Source organism: Homo sapiens, chromosome 10, assembly GCF_000001405.40.
Source record: "Homo sapiens chromosome 10, GRCh38.p14 Primary Assembly".
Lineage (NCBI taxonomy): Eukaryota > Metazoa > Chordata > Mammalia > Primates > Hominidae > Homo > Homo sapiens.
Window position 1 is genome coordinate 118695387 of NC_000010.11, and position 27914 is coordinate 118723300.

At 39.4% G+C, this 27914-nt stretch overlaps 1 protein-coding gene across 1 annotated transcript in view; it reads right to left on the minus strand.

The window, feature by feature from the left end:
- CACUL1 (CDK2 associated cullin domain 1) overlaps positions 1–27914 on the minus strand; it is a 78560-nt gene that overhangs the window by 18976 nt on the left and 31670 nt on the right. The window contains exons 4-5 of the mRNA NM_153810.5: positions 12106–12201; positions 5920–6022 (exon numbers count right to left, since the gene is read on the minus strand). Of these exons, the coding sequence (NP_722517.3) occupies positions 5920–6022; positions 12106–12201 (199 nt within the window). The remainder of the gene's footprint in view (positions 1–5919; positions 6023–12105; positions 12202–27914) is intronic.

A 27914-nucleotide genomic window follows, 5' to 3' on the forward strand; every position in this document is an offset into this window, starting at 1 on the left:
TTTTTAATCCACTGCAGTAGCTAAAATACGTGAAGGTCTGCTGGCCACTAATGGAAATGAATCAATTCATGAAGGTTCTGAAAAGTAAGTAAAGCTTTCTAAAAGCACTAGTATAATGTATCATGAATGATACATTATAAGTGAGTTGAAAGTGCTTCCATTACATTTGGAGAATAAAGTATCATATGATAATCTCCCTCAATCATTTCTCCTTCCCCCAAAACACCATTAGTAATTATTTGGTAACTGTGATCAGAGACAGAAATTCATTTCCACAAATGCTATAGCTACATCTACTATTTTCTTACAAGAGCTAAGGGCAAGGGATGATAATGGCTCATCTTTCTCATTTTCATGTCTTTGGTGACCCTGACTCTGAACATGACAACAGAGACAGTTTTCTTTTAGGTTATCTACTGCCACACAAACATTTTTAAGAAGTTTTTAACGAGTAAGAATAATTCCTCTAGATAAGATCACTAACAAATACAAGTGAATTCCATTGATAAGTGAACACAACAGATACTACTGACCTAAAATGATTCATTTTTAATTTATCTCAAAGAGCTGCATTTGCTAATAACAACAAAAAACTTAGTAGGATTTTACCCTCAGCCAGGCTTGTAACATCACATATAAACTGATTTTGTTCTGTTCATGCCTTTCTAAAAAGAGAAATGCCATCTTACTAGGCCAATAAGGATTTTACAGTCTCAAACGTACAATTTGAGTTATGTTTGAATATATATGATGGCCATCAGAGATGCACTCACTGTTCAAGTCTATCCTTCCAATTTTATCATCAGTAGATAGTTACAATTTTGAATGGCACAGACCACCAGGGGTGTCCAGTCTTTTGGCTCCCCTGGCCCACACTAGAAGAAGAACTGTCTTGGGCCACACATAAAATACACTAACGACAGCTGATGAGCTTAAAAAAAAATTGCAAAAAAACTCGTTTTAAGAAAATTTACAGGCTGGCACAGTGGCTCACGCCTGTAATCCCAACACTTTGGGAGGCTGAGGCAGGTGGAACACAAGGTCAGGAGTTCAAGACCAACCTGGCCAACTTGGTGAAACCCCCGTCTCTACTAAAAATACAAAAAAATTGGCTAGGCGTGGCGGCAGGCGCCTGTAATCCCAGCTACTCAGGAGGCTGAGGCAGAGAATTGCTTGAACCTGGGAGGCGGAGGCTGCAGTGAGCCAAGATCCCGCTACTGCACTCCAGCTTGGGTAACACAGCGAGACACTATCTAATAAAAAAAAAAGTTTACGAATTTGTGTTGGGCAGCATTCAAAGCCATACTAGGCCGCATGCGGCCCGCAGGCCATGGGTTGAACAAGCTTGGCATAGACAAATGCTAAGCATTTCAGAAAATCATGTTGCTTTAAAATGCAGTGTTTAAAAATTTAAATTCTAAGTGTTAGGTTTTCAAAGTTCTCTCTATTAATCCATCTTCCTAACCTTTTCACCATTTTGGCCTCCAATTAGCCTTGCTCCCACTAACTCTTCGTATTCAACCACATATTCATTATGTGGTCAAGTATATACATTTGCAAACAACTCCTACCATAACTGAAATCCCCTATGTCAAATTTGATAAAGAAATGATAAATATAATACAAAGATATATACATAAAATGTACAGAAATTAATTTGAAATAAATTTAAAATGATTTTAGGAAAACAGTGTTTAAAACTTAAAAGATTTTCTAGTTAATCTCCCCTTTTAAGGAAAAAGAAATGGGAGTTTGGGGGTGGTAACTTGAGAGAGAAAAGAGTACTGAGCATTTAGTAAGTGCTACGTACTTTACATATATTTAATTCTCACAAGCTTTATCATCTACCTTTTTATTTTTAACAAGTGAGGAAACTGAGGCCAAAATAAAAACTCATCACTGAATAATTCATCTGAAGTCACAGAGCTAGCTAGAGGCAGAAGAAGTTTGAGAACTTGTGTTTCACTCTAAATTCTGTACTCTACTTCACCATACCAACACTGAAATGCTTGCTTATACGCAACAATCATCCCACAGATATCAATAAGCCGTATAGTTTAAACACTAGAATAGATAACTTCTAATCCTAAAATCTAGACAGGTTAAGTGTCTTGCTGAAAGTCACACACCTTTTGATACCTGAATTGGGACCAGAACCAAGCTCCTCTGCTCTTTCAAGTATTCCTCAGTGCTACACACTTGCTCAGGAGACTCTCTCCTTTATTAATGTGAAAAGCAATTCATAAAACTGAAAATACTCTTGGCTTCAAAAAATTTCAAACTACAATGGTTTGATCTAAAAGGCAGAACTGCCTAAGAAAATTAACTAAAACGTAACTATTTAGAACACTGTGCAAACTGAACTATAAATCTGCTGCTGCAAAAGTCAACACACTATATTTTCCCAGGAAATTTTCTATCATTAATTAACCCCATGCTACACATTTGTTACATTTGCTCAGAATCACCAACATACGACGTAAATACTTTAACAATAGAGCCTAGTAGTTTACTTTCAGCCAAAAATAGAAGCCACTTTATTTTATAAGCAAATATGCATAAAAATGATTATACCATGGAGCCGATAGAAAACTAGTTTTATTCCCAGTAAGAAGTCATTGTCTTCATTCATGAAACATACTAATAATGAATAATATGGGGCAATCAAGAACTGATTCTTTATTAACAGACAGTATTCATTTTACATTTTTGTGTTGTTTTTAAGACGTGGCTCCCAAATTCTTCTGACAAACCTCTTTTGCTTTTTTTTTTTTTTTTGAGACGGAGTCTCACTCTGTAGCCAGGCTGGAGTGCAGTGGCGATCTTGGCTCACTGCAACCTCTGACTCCTGGGTTCAAGTGATTCTCCTGCCTCAGCCTCCCAAGTAGCTGGGATTACAGGCACGTGCCACCACACCCGGCTAATTTTTGTATTTTTAGTAGAGACAGGGTTTCACCATGTTGACCAGGCTGGTCTCGATCTCCTGACCTCAAGTGATCCGCCTGCCTCGGCCTCCCAAAGTGCTGGGATTACAGGTGTGAGCCATCGCGCCCAGCCGACATGCCTTTTATCAAGAGGTGGGATACATTCCTCTCCTGGAATTTGGGCTCTGTGACCCTCGCCCAGCAGAATACAGCAAAAGTGGCACTGTGCCAGTTTCTGAGCCGAGGACCTAAGATACCAGCAATTTCCATTTCCTGTATCTTGAGATACTCACTCATGAAGGAAACACAGAGGAACCAAAAGCTAGCACCAACCTACCAGCCACGTGAATGAGTCACACTGAAAGTGCCAGCCCCCAGCTGAGCCACATCAGACAATGCTGAGCAGAACAGAGATAAGCTACCCCACCCCAAGCCCTCCCAAACTGCAGAGCAAAATAAAAGACTGTTGTTTTAAGCCACTGTATTTTTGGATGATTTGTTATACACCGATAATAAATGGAACACTAGTTTTCCAGATCTATCTGAAGCCACGGGAAGGAAATTACTGATCAGATTGTAGAAAGTTACAGAAATTGAATGTAGTTATTTTTTTGCTGCAGTAAAGGGGTAAGTAATATAAAAATGTGTAAGTAGAAACGACATTAATAGCTGTGCTATTCTGGTTTAAACTTTAACCTCTCTTTGTCTCCGTTTCTCCATCTATAAAATGGAGGTAATGACTATACCTATCTTATAGGGTTAGGAGAATTAAATACTTGTAAAATATAGGTCCTACCACATACAAGCAGTGCATGTGTGTTTAAAAACCTTTTGATGATCACCCACATAATACAGTTAAACATTGTCCCTTGTTGTTCTGAAGCCCAAACCAATGAGGCCAGTTATCACTTCTCTAAGTACAATGCCTAACAACTGCTCAATAAGTATCTGATAAACTCAGTTTTTTCCAATTTACCAAAGCTTAAGGACCTTTTCTGTTTACTTGGAAATAAAAAGGTATATCCACCTTTAAGTGTAATTTTTATTGAAAACCGGACAACATGATTATGATTATGTTTTCTCTCACCAGCTCTGGACTACTATATTCTCTCTTGAATATTCTCTTTGCATACGTCCAATAAAATTAGTTTCCAAATTACTGGCAAATATAAAAATATATTTACAAACTAGACCGGCTTTTTCTACCAAATGGTAGCATTTCTCTACAGAATTTTACCAAGATTTCAAAATGCTCTATCTTGTCATGAAAGCAAAAAGACAATGTCAGTATCAGGAAATACTTAAGTGGTTATAATACCTGGAATACCTCATGAGACAATTTTTTTTTTTTGAGACAGGAGTCTTGCTCTGTCGCCCAGGCTGGAGTGCAGTGACGCGATCTCGGCTCACTGCAAGCTCCGCATCCCGGGTTCACGCCATTCCCCCTGCCTCAGCCTCCCAAGTAGCTGGGACTACAGGCGCCCGCCACCATGCCCGGCTAATTTTTTTTTGTATTTTCAGTAGAGACGGGGTTTCACCGTGTTAGCCAGGATGATCTCAATCTCCTGACCTCGTGATCCGCCGGCCTCAGCCTCCCAAAGCGCTGGGATTACAGGCGTGAGCCACTGCGCCCGGCCAAGACAATGTTTAAAGATGTTGATAAACATCTCCCAGCCTTACAAAAAAAAATGGGAACATAATAATGAAATGTATATTATCTTCAACTACACTATTCTTTGAAAAAAAAACCCTGCCTTTCTAAACTTGCCCCATGCTTGATAATTCCTTCACTTAATTCAGCATCAAAAATGAAAAAAAAAAAGTTTATGGTCAAGCTTAGAACAATTCTTTTGTAGATTCTGGTAAAAGTTCATTGTGGTGAACGCTAATTACGGCTCAAAGGAAAGCAAAAATACATACTGCCAACCCAAATATGTGCCACATTCGAAAAAATGACTTGATGTGTCACATAAGATAGGAGCTTTAAAAGGACGCTGAGGACACTGAGACATTAGGTTACAGGGACTTCCTAACTCCACCTGGAGAAGTATATTCTTTCAGGAAAGGTAGAATGAGATGCTACCTACTGCGAGGGGGAAGAGGACTCAAGAATGGGAAGAGGAGAGGCCAGGTGCAGTGGCTCACGCCTGTAATCCCAGCACTTTGGGAGGCCGAGATGGGTGGATCACGAGGTCAAAAGATTGAGACCATCCTGGCCAACATGGTGAAACCCCATCTCTACTAAAAATAGAAAAAATTAACCAGGCATGGTTGCGGGCACCTGTAATCCCAGCTACTCGGGAGGCTGAGGCAGGAGAATGGCGTGAACCCGAGAGGCAGAGCTTGCAGTGAGCCGAGATCACACCACTGCACTCCAGTCTAGGCGACAGAGCGAGACTCCGTCTCAAAAAAAAAAAAAAAAAAAGAATGGGAAGAGGAGAAACGAACTGAGCTTAATGTTCTTAATAATCTACACAGGCACATGAAATATTTTACAAATCCTAATTCACAGGAGAGAAAACTCAGGGCCACAAGAGGCAAAGACGTTTGCCTAAAATAGAGAATAAATGACAGAACCAGACTAGAGAAGAGTTTCTGCACTAGAGTAAAAATCAGAGGATTCTGTACTACCATTTCAAAAAAATAACACTGTATTCCTTCTAGAGTTACTAGTAGTAAAGTTAGAAGTGAACTTCCTAATAATACTTTCCCTACTGTCAGGAAAAAGGGGCGGCGGGGAGGGGGCAACAAGTTCTCAGGGCAGACACAAGGGCACTGTCCAATGACCTGGTCAAGGTGCTCACAGCTCACCGGGTGACCTTCAAGTCCCATTTTTAATTCTGCAGTGTCTCAGGTGGGCTTCAACACTTCCTGCTATCTGGTTCAGAAGATGTTAACATTGGGGTTTACGTGACAATGCTCTCAGACCAAAAAAAAAAGAAAAAGGAAAGATCATTGCTAGTGTTATCTCACCCGTATAAGCTGAATTACTTACGCATTAGGCTGTAAATGTGCTTTTCTGCAACATGTTCCGTAAACAGCTTTATAAGGTCATCTTTTAAGTCTCTGTTAAGCTTGGTTTCGATGTAAAACTTATTCTGAAAAATAAAATAAAATCTTTTTTTGTGTATTAATTGGGGAAATGATTAGTCTAATGAACTGGAGCACTAAATATTTTAGAAAACAATGCATAAAGGCATCAATTAAAGCAGAAAAACTCAACATCCAACAACAAAAGCCATGCAACTATTAGTTACTTGTCTTTCTGGCACGGGGTGGAAAGCATAAAAAAATGTTTTGAACTATACATCTTCAAAAGAACACTGGGAGATACCAACATTAACTAGACAGGGATGTACAAACATTGTAGAATCACACTGTGTGGAATACCCTTTAAAAATACATCACCAAAAGACAACATGAGAAACACTAATGAAAAGTACCCCATTTATCAATGATCTGGGTTGAAAGCAGGCTGTGGACATGCACTCGTTGACTCCCCAGCACACACTCAATTTCACTGATTAAGTCATTCAGCTTCTGGCATTCCCTGGGGACCACCTTTGGTTCAGAAGTAGACACTCAAGGCAGCCCAAGCAGACTTAGAGAAATTGTGGTGTGAGGGAAAAATCTCCTGCAGTCATCTTATAACCATGAGGGGAATGTCAGGCCTCTGAGCCCAAGCCTGCATGTATACATCCAGATGGCCTAACGCAACTGAAAAATCACAAAAGAAGTGAAAATGGCCGGTTTCTGCCTTAACTGAGGACATTATCTTGTGAAATGCCTTCTCCTGGACAATGAGTCTCAGAAGCTCCCTGCGGAGCTCCTGGGCCGAGCACCTTGTGACCCCTGCCCACCACAGAACAACCCCTTTGACTGTAATTTTCCACTACCTACACAAATCCTATAAAACTGCCCCAGCTCATCTCCCTTCGCTGATTCTTTTCGGATTCAGCCCACCTGCACCCAGGTGATTAAAAAGCTTTATTGCTCACACAAAAGCCTGTTGGTGGTCTCTTCACAAAGACGCCCGTGACAGGGAACAGGATAAAACCGATGTTACGGAGAGCAGAGAGACCAAAAATCAAGTCCTTAGTAATACTATTGAACCACAGATTCAACCAACCCTGGACACAGCCTTATTTCTGGAGTTTTATTATAAGAGATAATACTCTTCATTATTTACTTAAATCACTTTGAATCATGTTTTCTGTTTCTTGCAGCTGAAATCCTGACTAGAATTACTGGCAAGTCAAAGTTTTTCTTTTTTCTTTTTTTTTTTTTTGAGACAGAGTTTTGTTCTTGTTGCCCAGGCTGGAGTGCAATGGCACGCTCTCCACTCACTGCAACCTCTGCTTCCCCGGTTCAAATGATTCTCCTGTCTCAGCCTCCCGAGTAGCTTGGATTACAGGCGTATACCACCACACCCGGCTAATTTTTGTATTTTTAGTAGAGATGGGGTTTCATCACATTGGTCAGGCTGGTCTCAAACTCCTGACCTCAGGTGATCCGCCAGCCTCTGCCTCCCAAAGTGCTGGGATTACAGGCGTGAGCCACCATGCCTGGCAAAAAAAGTTTTTCATATTTAAGTGTTAATGCAGAAGAGTAGAAAATACATAGAGGAATGTTAAGTTGCTCACTGATTCTCTCTTAATTTAATTTAAAAAATTTTTTTTGGAGATAGTGTTTCAATTGCCCAGGCTGGTCTCAAACACCTGGCCTCCCACTTCAGCCACCTGAGCAGCTGGGATCACAGATGTGAGCCACTATGCCCAGCCACTGAATTCTTAACACACGTTTCTCTCTTTAAAAAAATATATAAAAATAAGATGCACATGGTTAAAAAACAGAAAGCATGCAAAAGAGTATGCAATAAAGAGAAGTCTCTCAATGCAGACCTTCTGACCCATTCCCAAAAGGTCCCATTCTACACTGGGAAAACTTCTGTATATTCTTTCTAGGATGTTCCTTGCATATACATGGATATGCTTTTTTCCCCCTAAAAAAAAAAAATACTAGTGTGAAAATATTAAACACTGCATTGTACCCTGCTTTTTCATTTAATGTTGCATCTTGGAAGATTTTTCTCTAAAAAAACAGAGTTGTGTTACTTTTAATTGCATATTTTTCTGTGTCTTTCATAAATTATTTAAATAATAGTCCCTACTGATAATACAAATGTTCCTCAATGTTCTGCTATTTTAAAAACCTGCATAATTCTTATATACATATTTGTATGTATTTATGAGTTTATTTGTATAATAAATTCCTAGAGATACAATTCTTGAGTCAGATTTTTGCATATTAAACTCTTAACAATAATGCGAAATAGTCTTCCAAAGAGGCTTTACCAATTTACATTTCCACCAAAAGTGTGAGAAGCTTGTTTCTTTATAGATTCACCAGAACTGAATATTGATCAAACCTTTCCAATTTCACTAACTAAAGTAAGTTAGCGGAAAAAAAGTTATTTTATTTCTTAAATTGTGATATTGGGTATATTTTCATGTTTATAATCTTTTTTTTCTATGAACTGTCTGTTCATATGCTTTGTCCATTTTTCAACAGAAATTTAGGGTTATCTTTTTCCAATTCATGAAAGCTGATTATCAAGGAAAGCAAACTTTTGTCTTATATTTTCCAATTTTGCATTTTTTCCCCACTTACTTTTAGCTTATGATATTTTACTGTACAAAGGTTTCCAAATTTTGTATTGTCATAGTCTGATATTTTCTTCCAGCCTGGGTGACAGAGCGAGACTCCGTCTTAAAAAAAAAGAATAAGGTAGTGGCTAGGTGGTCGTGCTTAGGCTCATGCCTTTAATTCCAGCATTTTGGGAGGCCAAGGTGGATGGATGTTACAGACCAGCCTGGATAACATACCAAGATCCCATCGCTACTGAAAAAAAAAAAAAAAATTCCTAACATTAGGTATGGAAAAATCTACTCCTTCCTTACTGATCTGAAATGTCACCTTTCTACTAAACTTCTACATTTACTTCAGCTTATTTCTGGGCTCTGTTCCCTTGATCTGTCTATCCCTGCCACCAATGACAATCATTATTAATTACCATAGCCTTCTCATTCATTTTAATATCAGGTGATAGAGACAGAAGGCAGTCAAATGCCTAGGCAGACAGGGGTGGTTCTCCAGTGAAAGCCCACCTCCAGGCCCAAGACAGTTTAAAGCCTGAAAGCCAAGCTACAGGCAAATCCTTGGGCAGGACTGAGAACTTGTCTTCCCGTTTGGCACACTTCCCTCTGATTGACCCCCACCCTTCACCTATTTTACATATATCTACCCTTTCTTAATTGGTTTCCTACACTGTTATGCCCACCTTTGAGTAGTGTCCTTGCTTTAACCTTTTTTGTATATTCACAAACCAATCAGCATGCACTCCCCATTCTGAGTCCATAAAAGGCCTCAGACTCAGACACAAGGTGGGGGTGGGGGGAGCACCCCCACAACCCCTCTCCACTGAAAGCTGTTTCATTGCTCAATAAAATTCTTCTCCACCCTCCTCACCCTCCAATGTTCAGCACATCCTCATTCTTCTTGGGCGCAGTATAAGAGCTTGGGAACTGCCAAATGCGGGTACAAGCTGTAACACAGGCGAGCTGGGGCACATCAGCATGGCCGAGCAAGGCCCGGGTGGGGCACTGCCAGCCAGGGGTCCCCAGCTTGCAAAGTGACCAAGAAGAAAAAATCCTACATCAGTAGGGCCTCATACGTGAATTCTGATAGTTGAAATTCAGAGTAAGTCTGAAGTTCATTCTTATTTATCTTTTATAAGTTTTACTGGTTATTTTTTTTTACATAAATTTTATCAGAAGAGATTAAGTTAGCTGTCTTCCACATTTCATTTCTAAGTATTTTCCCCTTTTTAAATTAATAAAAACTTCAAGCTATTTTCACAACTGAAATTTTTAAATCAAAATTTAGAGCAAAAGTTGATTTGGCAGTATACCTTAAAGTCTTTGAAATAAATTAGCCATCTCTTTGAGACTCTGTAGTTTATATTCAATAATAAAAAATAATATAACTGTTTAACTCCCAAAATAAATTTTTCTGCATTTATAGTGCTTTTCTCTCCTGGTATATTGTCCTATTGACATTTAAGACCTGAATGCACAGCATTTTAATGTACCCTTTCTACTCTTTGTAAGTAACTAGAAACCATTAAAAAGAAATAGTATGAAAACTTCAGAAGTACTTAGAAACTCAAGTTAGTCTACCTCTTTTCAACTTTGTCTCAGGTACAGTAATGTTAAATTCCAAAATTGTAAGCAAAAATAAATGTCTTTATTTGACCTCTGTAACTTTCAGCAAGACCTTAGTTACAATTTATTTTCTAGTTTAATGACAATTTCTTGATATTCATATAGACAGACTTCTAACAAAGACACTAATTTTGACAAATATTTAAAAAAATTTGTTTCTGTGATATCAAAAGAAACTTTGCTTATTATGGCACTAGTAGGTTAACATTTCAAACTATTTTCTTTAATATACTTTTCCAACAAAACAGTACCAAAGTTCAAAGAATTTCTATCTTCTGGACAATAAAAACAATTTACATAACAAATTCTCAAAAGTAACTACAAAGCAAATTCAAGCTCTTAATCTATAAGAAAAGCTGTAGTTAAGCTTTACAATCTAAGATCCCTTATTTGAATCCTGCTAGCTGAAAGAGTAAGTTTGAAGTTCGTTTATTCTTAATTGACACAGACCTCTTAAACCCCAGGATCCTACCATAAGGTGTAAGAAAGCAACAATGGCAATACAGAAAAGCGTGAATCACCTTCCTGTCTTAACTATTTTTGTTTTAATAAACTAGCTATTTACCTTTTGATTCAAAATTATGATAAATTAGACTTTTGTTTTTATTACTCACGCACCTAACCAACATGCTTATCTGGTAAATGCCATTAAAATGGCAGACATGCAAGTCAAGAAACCTATTTACCCAGCCTTAATTCCTTTATCCACAAATAGGCCCTGTCTTTCAGCTCTGCTTCCATACCTGGTCTCTACTGAAAACTTTAAACAGCAAGAATAAGGAGTCGGCTCGCACGGAAATAAAATGTTTGCTCTATCAGTACAGGACATTTAGTTAACACACTCCTGATCAATAGCCCATGATAGGATTTCACCAAAATGATACAATGTAACTACTACCTCCCAGGCTTACACTCTTCCCAGTAAGTTAATTCTGCTATCCTAGATGCACTTATTCCTAATGTCATCAACAATATTTTTCCTTAGTTTCATGATTCATAAAGGAGTTTTGGCACTTAAACCAAAAGAAAAGGCTTTTTATACATTTCTTTCTTGGTAAAAGGCAAAAACCAGTTTCTTTGGCATTACATTGACTAGAAAACTCGTACTATTAAAATTGTTGTCAGTAACCAAGAAATAAGTGTAAATGAAAATCAGGAAGCACTACATGGTCTTTTGGAAAGTGCCTTCTAAATTAAAGACAGGGGTAGTTTTGTTTTGTTTTTGTTAAGTGCATTTTATGGAAAATAACATTTTTAAGATTGCTATCCACATACAGCAAGCTACATGCTACAGAAGGTAGGATCAACCTGAACATCTCATTCACTAGTCTAATAAAGAAGAACGGGGATCATGGTTTCTAAGGGCTCCTCCATTCAACAGGAGCACTAACATTAAGATTCTATGACTCTCGATATTTAAAACAGGGAGGAAGCTGATCAACAAAGTCACAGTCTACAGATTATACTCATAGCATAACTCTCCAAATAAAACAGATCATCAGAATGGCAGCAATGTTTTACTGTTCTATTTTTATGGAATGATTTACTTGGCATTTTACTTTCTGAGGACAAGAAATCTTACATATCTTTATATTTCTGGAACCAAACACAGTGCCTTCCACATAGCAGAAATAAAATAAGTACTCATGTGGGTGACTGCTAATCTTAATGCCTACTTGTCTATTCAGCAATTGTTATGGAATTTCAAAGCAGAAAAAGGGGAAATAATTAAAGTTCTTCTATGTCAACAACTATCGCACATTACTGAAATAACTTAATTTCCATTTCTAACACAAATGTAGTAAAAGAAAAACAGAATATGCTTAACTCTCTGCATCTATTTGTGCTCTCAACAATACACCTAGGTATTTGGGAAGGAGGAAGGAGCTCTTACTTACCATATATATGAAAAGAGGCACAATGCTCTGCAATGCTCCCATATATTGTCCAAGAGCTATATTAAATCTTTCAATATAGAGATCTGGAGGGCTGGCCTGTGAGAAAGAACAGAAGTGTGATCAATCTGGGAAACCAGGGAAAGACCTTCCACCATAATTTGAAACACAAACAGAAGGAATTCAAAATTCATACTGAGATTCACAATTAACAAAAAAAAAAAAAAAGGAAGACACGTACACTCTGAAGGTAAGACTTCCACCTTTGTTCCAAAATCTGCTATGTAAAACTGAAGTTTAGCCATCTGCAAAAGCTGTGTAACCTCAACACGTTAATTAAAAGGCTTCTTCTTTTACTGCATAAAAAGGTGCACTAAGGCTGGGCGTGGTGGCTCACACCTGTAATCCCAGCATTTTGGGAGGCCAAGGTGTGTGGATCACTTGAGGTCAGGAGTTCAAGACCAGCCTGGTCAACATGGTGAAACCCTGTCTCTACTAAAAATACAAAAATTAGCCAGGTGGGGGTGGCAGGTGCCTGTAATCCTAGCCACTTGGGAGGCTCAGACAGGAGAATCACTTGAACCTGGAGGCAGAGGTTGCAGTGAGCCGAGATCATACCACTGCACTCCAGCCTGGGTGACAGAGCGAAACACTGTCTCAAAAAAAAAAAAAAAAAAAAGATGCACTCAACGATAAATGATTTTTAAAAACTATTACTGAATTACATGGATATTCTATATAGAACCAAACTATATTTGAACCTGGAATGAGTTGGGAGGATATTCAACTAAGTGGTATAGGCTTAATGTACTATTAGAATGGCTAATGAAATTTATAATTACCTTAAGCACAGAAATATTCTGATTTCTATGCTAACTTGGTTGTAAACCCTTCTGTAGCTAATTATAAATATTAGTTAGAAAGCATGGACACAAATGACCCATATACACCTTCAGCTCTGTAGAGCAGTAAAACACAATGCATTCCTCTATTAACTCACTTTTACAAAATACCAAATCATAAAACCATCAAGAGAGAACACTACCAACTTTTTTATATGTTATAGACTGAATAGAATATAGACTGTGTTCCTCGAAAATTCCTATGTTGAAGCCCTAAACCCCTAGTACTGCCATACTAGGAATAAGGAAGTAATTAAGGCTACACGAAGTCACAATGGTAGAGCTGTGATCTATAGGATTAGTGTCCCTAGATGAAGAAACACCAGAACGCTCAGGTTCTCGCTCCTCCCATAGGGCTCAGAAAAAAGGCCATGTGAGGACTGCAGTGAGAAGGCAGCCATTTACAAGCCAGAAAGAGGGCCCTCACCAGGAACCGAATAGGAAGCACCTTTGTCTTGGACTTCCTAGCCTCCGGCACCATGAGAAACAAATTTCTTTGTTTAAGCCACCCAGTCTATAGTACAGTTGACCCTTGAAAAACCGGAGAGTTAGGGGAGCCAACACCCAAAACACAGTAAAAAATCTGTGTATAACTTTTCACGTCCCCCCAAATTTAACTACCAATATTGCCTACTGTTGACCAGAAGTCTCACTGATAACATAAACCATCAGTTAACACATATTTTGTATATGTATCATTTATACTGTATTCTTACAATAAAGTAAGCTGGAGAATATTAACAAAATCATCAAGAAGAAAAAATATATCTATTCATTAAGTGGAAGTATATCATCATAAAGATTTTCATCCTTATCTCCAACAGTGGGAAAAGGGTTGGCCTTGCTGTGTCAGGGGTGGGAGAAAATCCGTGGATAAGTGGACCTACACAGGTCAAACCCGTGTTGTTCAAGGGTCAACTGTATTTTGTTGTGGCAGCCCAGTCGAAGACACTGTGTTTTACAGAAGTGCATCCATGCATGATTTCATTCTATTCTCTAAAGCTAAATTAATTAGGTCCCATTTTAACACTAAAGAAACACCTAAATGGCCAGTAATTTGTCTAAGACTAGACCGTTAGCCAAATGATAGATCCAGGTCTTCCAACTAAGAATTCATTCCTGGGTCAGAGTGTTGGGGGACGAGCATGGTACAAAACACAATGCAAACAAAACTGATTCTACACAAGAACTAACTTGTGGCAGCCCCACAGCTTATCAATCATATCTTACACATAAAGTCTTGCTTTCAAATAAGGATATTAAGAAATGCCACATGGAAGGATTCCTAAATATTAAATTTTAAAACATGAAATTATAAGACCACTTCAGCTAAGCTGTTTCATAAATGTCCAAATATTTTGATACTATTTTCAAATAAGATTCAACTCATATTTCAGTTCTACTTAGAAGCTTATATATATGTAAAGAATTGTCTTTATTTTTTCTAATTCATCGTACTTACAGGTCTGGTGCACGCTAGGTGCTTTTATTTACATTTCTTTTTTTTAAATTATTATTTTTTTTTGTACATTTTGAGAAAGGTCTTGCTCTGTCTTCCAGGCTGGAGTGCAGTACCATGATTACAGCTCACTGCAGCCTCCACCTCCCAGGCTCAATTGATCAATTCTCCCAACTCAGCCACCTCCCAACTAGCTGGGACTACAGGTATGCAGCACTAGGCCTGCCTAATTTGTTTGGGATTTTTTTTTTTTTTTGGTAGAAATGGGGTCTTGCTATATTGCCCAGACTGGTCTTAAATTCCTGGGCTCAAGCAACCCTCCTGCCTCAGCCTCCCAAAGGGCTGGGATTACAGGTGTGAGCCACCACACCCAGCGCATTTCTTTTTCTTAGTCCTTCTAACTGCCTATAAATTGAATGTTATTTCCATTTACAGATGAGGTGATTGGGGCTCAGAAATAGTCACCTGTCTACAGTTCTACAGTGAATAAACCCAAGACCTACAACTCAAAGCATGATCAATCCAAGGCCTTCTACACCTACTTAAATTCTCTTTTGGCACTCTGAAACCTTTTCACAAACTTCTCAACGTAGGGCACAACTGTCTACACCTCTGGTTGCACAGCAAAGAACAGGACTGACAATGGGAATACTAGCACTCCCCAAAAGACATAAGGCCTCCCTGACTGTTCTTTCTACCTAACCATCTCTCTCTGCACCCACTAAGCTGGCTAACTTCTCCTAGTCATTCCTTCAAAAATATCTGAACTACATGGCCCTTCAGTGGGGCCCCACTGCACTCACTTCCCTCACTGGGTAGTCTGCCACTACCTTCAAACCCCTGGAGGGCAATATTTGTGTCTTATCTGTATATCTCCGGTGCTGACCACAGTGCCTAGAACATAGTAGATAAAGAATGCATTGTTTTGCAAGGAAAGGGTCTTGTTCAAATCTAAACTTTGACTCTAAATCTAATTTAGCATTATTTAAATCTAAATTCCTACTTAACAAGGCTGTATGACATTAGGGAATTCATTTTGCCCTCTAAATTTCAATTTCCATATATCCAAAATAGGAAAAATACTAGCTGTGGTACTTCTAAGATGTGAAGGAAATCAAAGAAAATAGTGTGTGTTTTGAAAATGTCAAGTATTACACATGTATATGCAACTAGTAAGTAAACTCCTTTCTGAATTAACTACCCATTTGTCTAATGCTTCAAAAGAAATCCAACAACATTTTTGTTTTTGAGATGGAGTCTTGCTCTGTCACCCAAGCTGCAGTGCAATGGCATCATCTCGGCTCACTGCAACCTCCGTCTCCCAGGTTCAAGGGATTGCTCTGTCTCAGCCTCCTGAGTAGCTGGGATTACAGGTGTGGGCAACCACACCCAGCTAATTTTTGTATTTTTAGGAGAGACAGGGTTTCACCATGTTGGCCAGGCTGGTCTTGAACTCCTGACCTCAAGTGATCCACCCACTTCGGCCTCCCGAAGTGCTGGGATTACAGCCGTGAGCCACCGCACCTGGCCTAATAACATTTTTAAAAGCATTCTTTGTTAACTAAAGAACTTGGTGAAAATGGTTCCATGTTATAGGCAAACTTTTAACTATAACTAATGAACGGAATCATACGTAACATCTTCCCCTAAACTGCTTTGAAGAACTCTAAAAATGGTATTTCGGCATTCAAAGAAATAAATTTTAGAAGTATTACGTGAAAAAAAATCTTAAAAGCTGTTGCATTAAAATAATGTTGTTTTTACAAAAGATCACTTTATCCAGAAGTTAAAAGTATAAACATTGATCAAAAAGTACATTTACAGCAGACAGAATAAATAAAATTGAATTCCTTGTTCAAGAACTCCCAGTCTCAAAGACTATGCGTATTAAAAAGTACTTTCTGTACTGAATCAAATGTCAGAACACAGCTTTTTCTACAAAGTAAAAAAGTATATTTCATGTAGCCCTTATTCAAAACCTTTTAAATGACAGGACTATAAATTTTAGCAGTCTTCTAAAATAAACCTAAACTCCTTCCTAGGAACCTAGAAATGTCATTTAAGAAAAAAAACCTAATCAAATTGTTTCTCCTTAAAATTTAAGTTCAATACACTCTAGGCCCCATTGGGGAAACTGTTAACTATTTGATTTACCTTATTTCAACATGACAGTATTTGGCTTGGACATTCAAGTTTTTACCCCTGAACAAGCAAGCTTTGCTTTTTCCCCAAAGAAAACAAGAAAAAAACTGCCAGAAAAATAATAACCATTGTTACAAGATCTTTGGGGTGTTGTTTTTCTGGCCAGAAACCCCTCTGGCAGGTGGCGCCTTTACCTGAGTTTTGCTCAGGCCTACTGGGCTCATTTTGCCCACTCGACCTGGCAGGCTGCGCTCGGCTCATGCTACTGGCCTGGGTCCCACAGCTGCCAAGGGCAAGTCAGTACGTGGTGGTGCCTGGAAGCTTGAAACTCCAAGAACCAAAGGGCCCCAAAGGGCCCCAAAGAGGGAGTCACAGCCCTGGCTCAGGGAGCTCCCAGGCTGGGGCTTCCCGAAGGGCCACAGCTCTTCTTTCCTTCTCTTCACCCGCAATGTGGCAAGCAAGTGGCATGTCTCAGCCCTGTTTGTGTTACAACTCTTTTAGCCTTGCCATTCAGTGGGTCCTGAGTTCTTGTCCTGTGACCAGAAGAAAAGGTACGCAGACAAGTGGAGGAGCAAGACAAAGAGGAGCTTCACTGAGCAACAGAACAGCTCAGAGGAAAGCTGCAGGGAGTAGCTCCTTTCCACAGCCAGGGTGTCCGGACAAGTGTTCAGCTCCTAGCAGAAAGGGTAGCTCCTCTCTGCAGCTGGTCGTCCCACTGTGTGCACAGCTCTCAGCAGAAAACAGGCCCTAAAGTGAGTGGCTCCTCTCTGCAGCTGGTCATCTCAACAACTGTTCAACTCTGGGTAAGCCCAGGGCTTTTATGGGCCCAGAGGGGAGGAAGTACGTGCCCACTGGTCCATGGCCAGCCACAGGCAAGCTGGAAAAGGCACCACAAGTTCCCACTCCAGTCTGTAGGACTGGCAGCCTGGCTCCCAGCCTTCAGGCCCTCCTTAGCTTGAAGGTGGAGGCCTCACTGGGGACCTGCCCTCTTCCACCCAGGAACCTGTCTGCCTCCTGCTGCCATTCATGGCGCCCAGGCTGTAGGTGCCAAGGGGCGCCTGCAGGCCAGCGCCAAGCTGCCCTCAGCACCCCTTGGCTTCCTTTCTGTGCTTGTCAGTGCCCAAAGTCCGGAGGGGGCCGAGGCAGCAGAGGGCTAGTGTGTTAGCACTGCCCTCAGCGTGTGCACAGCTGGCCAGGCTGCGACAGCACCTGGGCTCGCCCCCAACTTTGCTCCAAGATCAGAGTCAGTGCCGACAACTTGGAGAAGCCAGGCAGTAGTAACAGACACTTCTGAGCCTTCGAGGGCAGGGGGTCCTTCCTGGGCCCCCAAGAATGCAGGGATGCCTGAGTCCACAGCTGTGGATTGGGTGGCTGCAGCAGCACCCAGTGTGCTCCCACCCCAACTCAGAAGAGGCTCTTGCCGGCTCCATGGAGCATGCAGCCCCACCTGTTGACGCCTCCCTGCTACAGCAGCGTGATGGCAGTGGCCACTCCAGATGGGCCGCCACTGCCATCACCATTACTCCAAACTTGCTCCAATTTTTCTTAACAGATCTGGATTCCCTGAATTTTGTAATATAACTGTGTGAGAATATTTTTTAAATAATGAGTAATGTATTCATCTGGTTTAAAATTCAAATGAGTTCAAATGGGTTTAGAGTAAGTTTTCCTTTCATTCCTTCCTCCCTGAACCAACCAATACTTTTTATATCCTTCCAGAAGAACTTTATGCCTATACTAGAAAATAAATGTCCCATTTATAGTTCTTTATACACAAATGCTAAGGTATAATCACACATACCTGCAACTTTCCCTAACAATGTATATCTTGTAGTCAGTTTTATTCCAGTGGTTCTCGCTAACTTTTGGTCTCTGGAAACCTTTACATTTCTAACAACAACTCAAGATTCCAAAAAGCTTTTTGTTTATATGCAGGTTGTATCTGTAAGTATTTACCATAATAAAAATTAAAACTAAGTTCTAAAAATACTTATTAATTCATTCTAAAATGACAATAACAAACTCATCACCATCTTATTTTTATAAAAAATAACTATTTACCAAAACAAAATTTAGTAAGAGGAGTGTCACTGTTTTTACATTTTTGCAAGTCTCTTTAGAGCCTAGCTTAATAGAAGACAGCTGGATTCTCATATCTGCTTCTGCAATGAAATCAGTTGTGATGTGTTATTTTCTGAAACGATCAATGAATGTTTTGTACTCTATTCCATTAAAAACCACGGGTCTATCTTCTACTTTAAATGGATCTTTTCTGTATACATTTTATTACATCACACATTGGTCATTTGGAAAATACTGATTCTCTGAGTTATGTAGATCTTCCCAATGTTGATTTCATTAGACGGTATCAAAAAAATACATCTCTGATGAGACAGTATTAACACCTATCTCATCAGAAATCTTTTTAAGTATTGGGAAGCTATCAAGGTCACAGTGGTAGATATAAATTTTCCAAAATTTTAATTTTCACTTCAAAGCACAAGTTTCATTATTGGCAACAAATACTGTCAGTCATTTTCCTGGAAGTGACAATCTTAGTTCACTAATTTCTGAGAAAATGTCTGTCAAATACCAAAGTCTAACCGTAGTTTGTCAGTCTTTTTTTCAAGTGAAAATACCGTTCTATGCAGAAAAGCAGGGTTAGTTCAAAATTCATACAATCACATAAGCACCTTTTCTCAAAACCACCACTGTACTCTGGTATGCGGTGTCCCATTTCTTTACATAAAATATTTTTTAAAGTATAAAGTCACAATTTAATAAAATTAATAATTTTCTCTGTTTCATCTGGGACATTCTTAATGAAAATGGCTTCCTCACCCCGCAAGCATGTGGAAATGAAAATTCATGCTAAGGCACCAGCGTCTATCCATCATTACTTACAGACCCCCCTGAAAGGCTTTTGGGGACCCTCCGAAGTCCTCAAAACACACACACTTTAGGAATATCTATTTCTGTAAGATGCTTGAATGTACTATTTATTTAATCAGAGGTCATATTGATAGCTTCGTGCTAATCCTTTGTTACCAGATTGTTGCACTGAGTAACTTCATATAGATGTTATAGACAATAATTTCAAAACAACCTTTAAATTAAAAAAGGTAGAACTAGATAATAGTCTTATGCATAATTATATTAAAAATAATTTCAGTTGTCCAGTTTAAATAGTGAAATCTGCGAAATACCACTAAAAATATATATATACACATACATGGTCCTAGTGTGAGAAATGCCTTACAGCAAGAAAGGAAAAGACAGATTTGATATACATACCACACCTTCACAGAAGGGAAGGGGAAAGAAAGCTTGTCATCTTTAACTTTCAAAGCTAAACAAGGAAGGTTGATTGGTCAGTCACCCGAATTTGATGTATATTAATAATTTTAGAAGAGGATTATTTGTTTAAATAATTTTACTAGTCAAGAGACTTAAATATACTATCATGTGGGTCAGTACTGCCCAAAGGAACTTTCTGTGGTGATGGGAATGTTCTAAATCTGCACTGTCCACTATGGTAACCACTGGCCACGTTTGGCTATTGAGCCTTGGAATATGATTAATTAAACTAAGGAACCAAATATTTACTTCATTTTAATTGTAATAGTTACACATAACTAACTGGACAATGCAGATGTAAAATACAAACGAGTTCTACAATTTCATATTTATATCCCTCCTCCTCTACCTACCCCCATCCTCGTCCCCAGCCAACCGAAATGAAACATGAAAAAAATTAAGAATATGTGCTTTTATCTTCACAAAAGCATTCTGGTTGTCTTCAAATAAGTAAGTGACTTTTGCATGCTAGAATGAAGTAGACAAGAAGGGATGGAAGAGAAGGACCTACTAAACATGACAAAACATGTATCTTTGTAAAAGTAATGTACGTTCATTGAAATTTTTAAAAATTTAAAATGCAACTATGGAAAAATAACCACTACCGGCTGGGCGCGGTGGCTCACACCTGTAATCCCAGCACTTTGGGAGGCCAAGGCAGGCGGATCACGAGGTCAGGAGGTCGAGACCATCCTAACACGGTGAAACCCCGTCTCTACTAAAAATACTAAAAATTAGCCGGGCGTGGTGGCACGCGCCTGTAGTCCCAGCTACTCCGGAGGCTGAGGCAGGAGAATGGCATGAACCTGGGAGGTGGAGCTTGCAGTAAGCCAAGATTGCGCCACTGCACTCCAGCCTGGGCGACAGAGCAAGACTCCGTCTCAAAAAAAAAAAGAAAAAGAAAAAGAAAAAAATAACCACTACCAACATTCGTAGAAAATTATTACCATTTTGGTATTTTTTTTTTTTTTCCTGTGTGCATGTGTCTGTTTCTAAACAAATATGGCTTATTTTGTAACCTGATTTTATCGCCCAACTATAGATCGTCACCATCTCTCCCAGGTCAAATTTCTTTCTATAACCTAATTTTAACAACTGTTTGGACACATCATTGCCTATTTCATCAGTCCCTTGTCACTGGATACTTAGGCTATGCTTTGCTGTTTATGTTATCCAGGTCTGCACGGATACTTCTAATTCAGACTAGCATTCCAGCTGTGCAAATGTGTTGAGTGGCATCAGCAACAACACAACCTCTTTTTTTTTTTTTTTGAGACAGAGTCTCACTCTGTCACCCAGGCTGGAGTGCAGTGGCGCGATCTCGGCTCACTGCAAGCTCCACTTCCCAGGTTCACGCCATTCTCCTGCCTCAGCCTCCTGAGTAACTGGGACTACAGGCACCCGCCACCACGCCTGCCTAATTTTTTGTATTTTTACTAGAGACACGGTTTCACCGTGTTAGCCAGGGTGGTCTCGATCTCCTGACTTCATGATCCACCCGCCTCGGCCTCCCAAAGTGCTGGGATTACAGACGTGAGCCAACGAGCCCAGCGCACTATCTTATTCTTAAACATAAGCTACACTGCACTCCCTGCTTAAGAGAGACTAGGTTCAGGAACAATGGTACATTTCCATACGCCAGTGGACCTCAAAGAATGCTTCTCTCCGAATCACCTGAAGGGACTGGTAATGACGCAGATTCCTTTGCCACACTCCAAAGTCTTGATTCAGAAACTTTCCAGAGGTGTGTATTTTTAGTGAGAACTTCAGGGAAGTCTGTAAACAGCTGGCCCACCTGTTAAGCATTTAGGAACCCTACACCTTAAGCCTCTTCCAAGAAATGAGAGGAGCTCTACAGGAAGGAAGTCTGCAGGATTCAAGAGAAAACTGAGCAGTAATCACCCATGTAACACAGGCATTTACTGCAGGACAATTTAGCTGCAAACTGCACTGAAATCAGTAAAAATATGATGCACTAACATTTTAACATTAACATAGGTGAATTTTTCCTCTTAAAAGTTAATGGCTTCTTGACTAGTATCAAATTCAGGGAGTATAAAGTTATCAAAATATAACTCAAGTTCCCCCTCAGCTTAGAATGCAGAAAGCTGTGAAAGAACATCACTCCCACTCTTATGGTAAGAAAAAGCTGGTTAACCAAAATAATCATAATTTTTCGAGCTCATCAGACACCTAAGGTTTCTTTAACTTACATCTGCAATGTTCAACTAGGTGAGAAGAATTTCAGAGTGACAAGCTCCTCTAAAAAAAAATAAAGGACACATGGACTATTTCTCTGTTGGTGATGGTAGTCATAAAAGCAGATAAGCAAACAACAGAAATTGTAATGAATCATTAAAGGCCAAGTGTGAACTAACAGTGTAGAATCCCTGGGAGGCTTCAACACAAGGGCAGTCAGCACCAGCACCTCCTCTCCAACTCTTTTCCATGGGTTTCCACTGGGTCATCAAGAGAAGGACTGGGGGCAGTGAAAGAAATCTGAGAGGCCATCCTCCATAGCAAGATGTGCCGGGCTTAGTAAGACCTGAGGATGAAGCAGGAATACCTAAAGAAGCCGATGAACACATCATGGGGTCCTCCATGACAAAAAAAGGTGGTGATTAACTGCCAATGGAAGACATGAACAAAAACTGCCTGTGCCCTAGAACCTACCCAGATTCAAAGCAAAAGCCATTTGCTGAAAGGAAGGGGTAAGAAACCCTGCAACCTGGTGACCCTTCTTTGACCTTAGGCAAAAACTGTCTACCACTGGAAGACAGGCAGGTGATCCTCCAGCCCTCCTGACAAGCAAAGGTCAGCAACCATTTTCAGGATGGTAGAAAATCCACTCATGCCCAGGTTTCCACACTGTTATGAAGCAAAAATATACTGCTGCTGATGGAAGCACAGGAAACTTGCTTACTCCCAAGGTTCCCCAAAGATACAAGGTAAAATTTGGTTGCCACAGGGTGTGTGGGGGGCAGGACAGGGAAGGGGAGAGTCGGGGAGGGAACTCACCTGCACACCAAACCAGAGATCAACAAACTAGAGGCTGTGGGCCAAATCTTGTCTACACCCTGTTTTGATTAAGTACAGTTGTTTTGAAACACAGCAATGCCCATTGTTTATGTAATCTGTGTGGCTGCTTTCACCTGCACCAGCAGAGTTAAGCACAGGAGCTAGACAAACACCTCACGGCCCGTGAAGATATTTACTTTTATTTTATTTATTATTCTTATTTCTTTGAGAGGGAGTCTCGCTCTGTTGCCCAGGCTGGAGTGCAGTGGCGCAATCTCGGCTCACTGCAAGCTCCACCTCCCGGGTTCACGACTTTCTCCTGCCTCAGCCCCAAGTACCTGGGCCTATAGGCGCCCGCCACCACGCCCGGCTAATTTTTTGTATTTTTAGTAGAGACGGGTTTTCACCGTGTTAGCCAGGATGGTCTCGACCTCCTGACTTCGTGATCCACCTGCCTCGGCCTCCCAAAGTGCTGGGATTACAGGCGTGAGCCACCGCGCCCGGCCAAGGCATGCCCATTTCTAAGCAGAAACTGTTCTTTTTAAGCTAAACTGTTCTTTTTATATACAATGTCCAACATTCAATAAAAAACTAAGACCAAAAAAACAAAAACACAGCCCACTGTCAAGAATTATGTCAACAATTAAACATTCAACATGCACAGAGATGTCCCACATGAAGTAGCTATCACAGACACTTTAAATAACTATGATTAATATATGCAATGACCTAGTAGAAAAGGCAGATAACATGCACAAAAAGATGGGAGAATTTCAGCAGAAAAATGGAAACTATTTTTAAAAGAGTCAAATGGAAATGTTAAAAATTCTCAAATAGTTTATTCCAAGTCCTTTAACATTTATTCCTATAATAAGTACAACGTTGGCATTTTTGTATCCCATACAAATGCACCTGGATGCCATCTCAAGGATCCTTAATACTATTTTCTCAATCAAATTGGTCATTTCTTTTTCTAAAAATCTGCCTTTAGATGACTGACTATAGCAAAAACTACTAATGGGTAATAAGCTTTCAGTCTAGCTTATTCCATGATGTTCCAGAGCAATACCATACTGCCATGGACAGATGTGTCATGGCCCTAGAAGCAACACCCATTACACACTGGAAGCTGACAAAGACGCTTCATAAAAATGGAATTTCTTGGCCGGATGCGGTGGCTCACACCTGTAATCCCAGCACTTTGGGAAGCCAAGGCGGGCAGATTACCTGAGGTCAGGAGTTCAAGACCAGCCTGACCAACGTGGAGAAATCCCGTCTCTACTAAAAATATAAAATTAGCCGGGTGTGGTGGCACATGCCTGTAATCCCAGCTACTCAGGGGGCCAAGGCAGGAGAATCGCTTGAATCCTGGAGGCGGAGGTTGCGGTGAGCCGAGATGGCACCATTGCACTCCAGCCTGGGCAACAAGAGCTAAATTCCGTCTCAAAAAAAAAAAAAGGAATTTCTTTCCAAATAGACAAACATATCTGACATTCCATTCTCATTCTTGCTATGCAGATATTATTTCCATATTAGAATAATATCCAAAAAATAGTGATATAGAAGGTAACTGATCTTCAGGAGCTATTTAAGAGCTATAATATACATATTAGACACTTCTCATATAAACTGTAAGCATGGTTTTCAATTGAAAACTACAATAAAGTCAATTGAGTCTTAGATAGAAGATATTTCTCTTTTCACTTAGATCTTTTACTTCTTAAGCTATTATTATATGAAATTTTTTTCTTGATTTATTTCTAAAATAAGACTTCCTTAATTTTCCAAATACTATTTGGACTTAATAAACTGAATTAAACCTGGCTTCTGTGTTCCTGGGTTCATTTAGCTTATCTACATGAAATAATCTGTAATCTAATACTAGCTTTTAAAGTAACTGGCTAGGTGCTATAAAAGGTTCAAGGATTACTAAATGGAGAAATATCCAAAGAAGCCAGATACCCTAGGCTGACTTCTCACTTCCCCACATACTTTATCTCTATGTAACACTTAGCAAACAGTAACTTACTTACACTACTTACACCTATTTGCTATTATTTTGGAAAGGAAACCTTTTTCCTTTTCTTTTCTAACTTAAATTACACAGTTTGGTCTCAAAGAAAGTATATCTTAAAAAGAATACAATTCATAATTGTACTCTGTACACCATGCAAATGTACTCTGTACAAATGCAAACAGCTATTATTTATGTGATTTTACTCTCCTGCTCATTTTCCAAGTTCTGGATGATGTTTTACCTGGAACAAACACATGCCTCTGGTAATGTCAGTGGTAAAGCCAGCATATGTTTTTGTAATCAACTTATACCAAGTACTTTTTACTGGATCTCTATTTTTGGGCCTGGTATTATGTTAAGTCCTATGAAGGCACATGAAAATACAAACAAAATCCTTTCTTTCAAAGGAAGATAGTAAACTTATTAGAATCATGGTCTGAATGAGAGCCTATTGAATGATCGAGGGTTAGGGTGTCTCCCTGGCAAATTCCTGGGTTTGCCATGACAACTGCTTTAAGTTCTAGTAGAGAGGAAAAAAATAGATCTCCACATAACTTAGAAACATTTTCAGTAGAACACACATGTAAAGGGCTATTTACCAGTTGCAATATTTATTTTATTTGAAACCTATGAAGAAAGGATATCAAGCAATTTTCTTATTATCTAAAATCTTATTCACTTTAGCAAGAAATAAACAGAGTATTTGGAGGAAAGTTTTCTTAGAATACACTTTGTAGTACAAGAGATTTAGAAATTAAAACCTTTAAAACACATAAAAAATTTCAAATGACCGTACACAAGATAACCAGTTGAGTTATGCTGCCACCCACTGGACAAAAAATAAATAGCAACGCAATCCTTGCTCTGATTTTAACTACCAAGGGACTAGCTCAGTTTATTGGCAATCTGGCAGTAAAGATTTTATATGCAAATTGGAGTTTATAAATAGTGAATCAAAGTTAAGTACTGTTGGCTGATTATGGTTTAGTTTCTATTAATTTCCATTATTAATTTGACAGTCAACTTACTTATTTTGCTTAAAACCAAGATACAGTTAGACATCAACATCACTCTAATTTTATTAAAATGGTTTAAATGTAATCAGTTAACTTCCTTTTAATTAAAAGTGAAATACTTAAAACTACTGTAAATTCAGCCTTATTTGAGATAAAAATTGCAACATTTCCCAGCACCTTTGTCTCTGTGGTCTCTCCTCAACAGGACCCTGAATGCAGGTTAGTAATATCGGCGCTAATCTTCCCACTTGAATGTTACTGTCCTGACCTAGGAACCAAATCTCTGTGTCAACACTGTTTACTGGGGCTAACGTACAGTGTGAGTTCCAAAGCACTGACAAAAGAACTGTTAATGGGTCACTGACTATAAAACTACTACATCAAAATGTCAGAATATTTTTATTTGGTGAAAATATACTCTCTTTTAGATAACACATTAGCATATACAATAAATGTATCAACATTACTTGGGGAGAAAATGCCTCACAATTGTTTCAATGGATTCTGGATTCAGAAATACACATAGAAAAAATGAAATGAGGAAGTGTCATTTAAGACAGTTTTAAAAGATTTTATATCCATCTATCCATGATAGTAGTCCCCCACCTTATCCAGTTTCCCTTTCTGAGATTTAAGTTACCACAGTCTGAAAATATTAAACAGAAAACTCCAGAAACAAACTTTTTTTTTTTTTTTTTCTTGAGACGGAGTTTCGCTCTTGTCACCCAGGCTAGAGTGCAATGGTGCGATCTCGGCTCACTGCAACCTCCGCCTCCCAGGTTCAAGTGATTCTCCTGCCTCAGCCTCCTAAGTAGCTGGGACTACAGGCATGTGCCACCATGCCCGGCTAATTTTGTATTTTTTTTTTAGTAGAGATGGGGTTTCTCCATGTTGGTCAGGCTGGTCTCGATCTCCCGACCTCAGGTGATCTTGCCCGCCTCAGCCTCCCAAAGTGCTGGGATTACAGGTGTGAGCCACCGCACCCAGCCACAATTCTTAAATTTTAAACTGCATGCCTTTCTGAGTAACGTGACGAAACCATAACACCATCCAGCTCCATCCTGCCTGAGATATCTGTCAGCACTTTGTCCAGCACTTTGTCCAGCATATGCACACTGTTGACACTATCCATCTGTCAGACACTTAGCCATCTCGGTTATCAGTTCAACTGTCACGATTATCATAGCAAATGTTCAAACAACCCTTACTTTACTTAATAATGGCTCCAAAGAGCAAGAGAGATGATGTTGGCAATTCAGATATGCCAAAGAGAAGCTGTAAATGATTCCTTTAAATGAAAAGGTGAAAGTTCTCAACTTAGTAATAGGAGGAAGAAATCTACTCCAAAGGTGGGGCTTGGACATCAGGACCAAACGGAGGACTAGCTAAAAACAGGTCAGGGCAGAAGCACCTCCCCATAAGACATGCCCACCAGTGTGCCATGTCAGTTGACCATTGCCATGGCAACACCCAGAAGTTACTGCCCCTTTCCATGGCAACAACCCAACAACCCAGAAGTTACCACCCTCTCCCTCGTTCTAGAAATTTCTGCATACTGCCCTTAATTTGCATATAATTAAAAGTAGGTATGAGTGCAGAACTGCCTCTGAGCTGCTACTCTAGACACAGTGCCCATGGGGTAGCCCTGATCCACAAGGAACAGTACCAATCTGAAATTGTCTTCCTTTTTTTAATGTAGTGCTTAGTCTTTAACATTTCACATAATAATAGACATGCTGAAGTTATCCTATTTTCTATTTATCTCATCTGTTCTCTGTACTTTTAAAAAATCCTTTCTTGATTTCTTTATTTTAAAATTATTCCATTTTTTCCCCTCTATGTCTTGTTAACTATGTTTTTTTACTACAGACTGTATCCTTGTCACATTATAGTTGAAAATA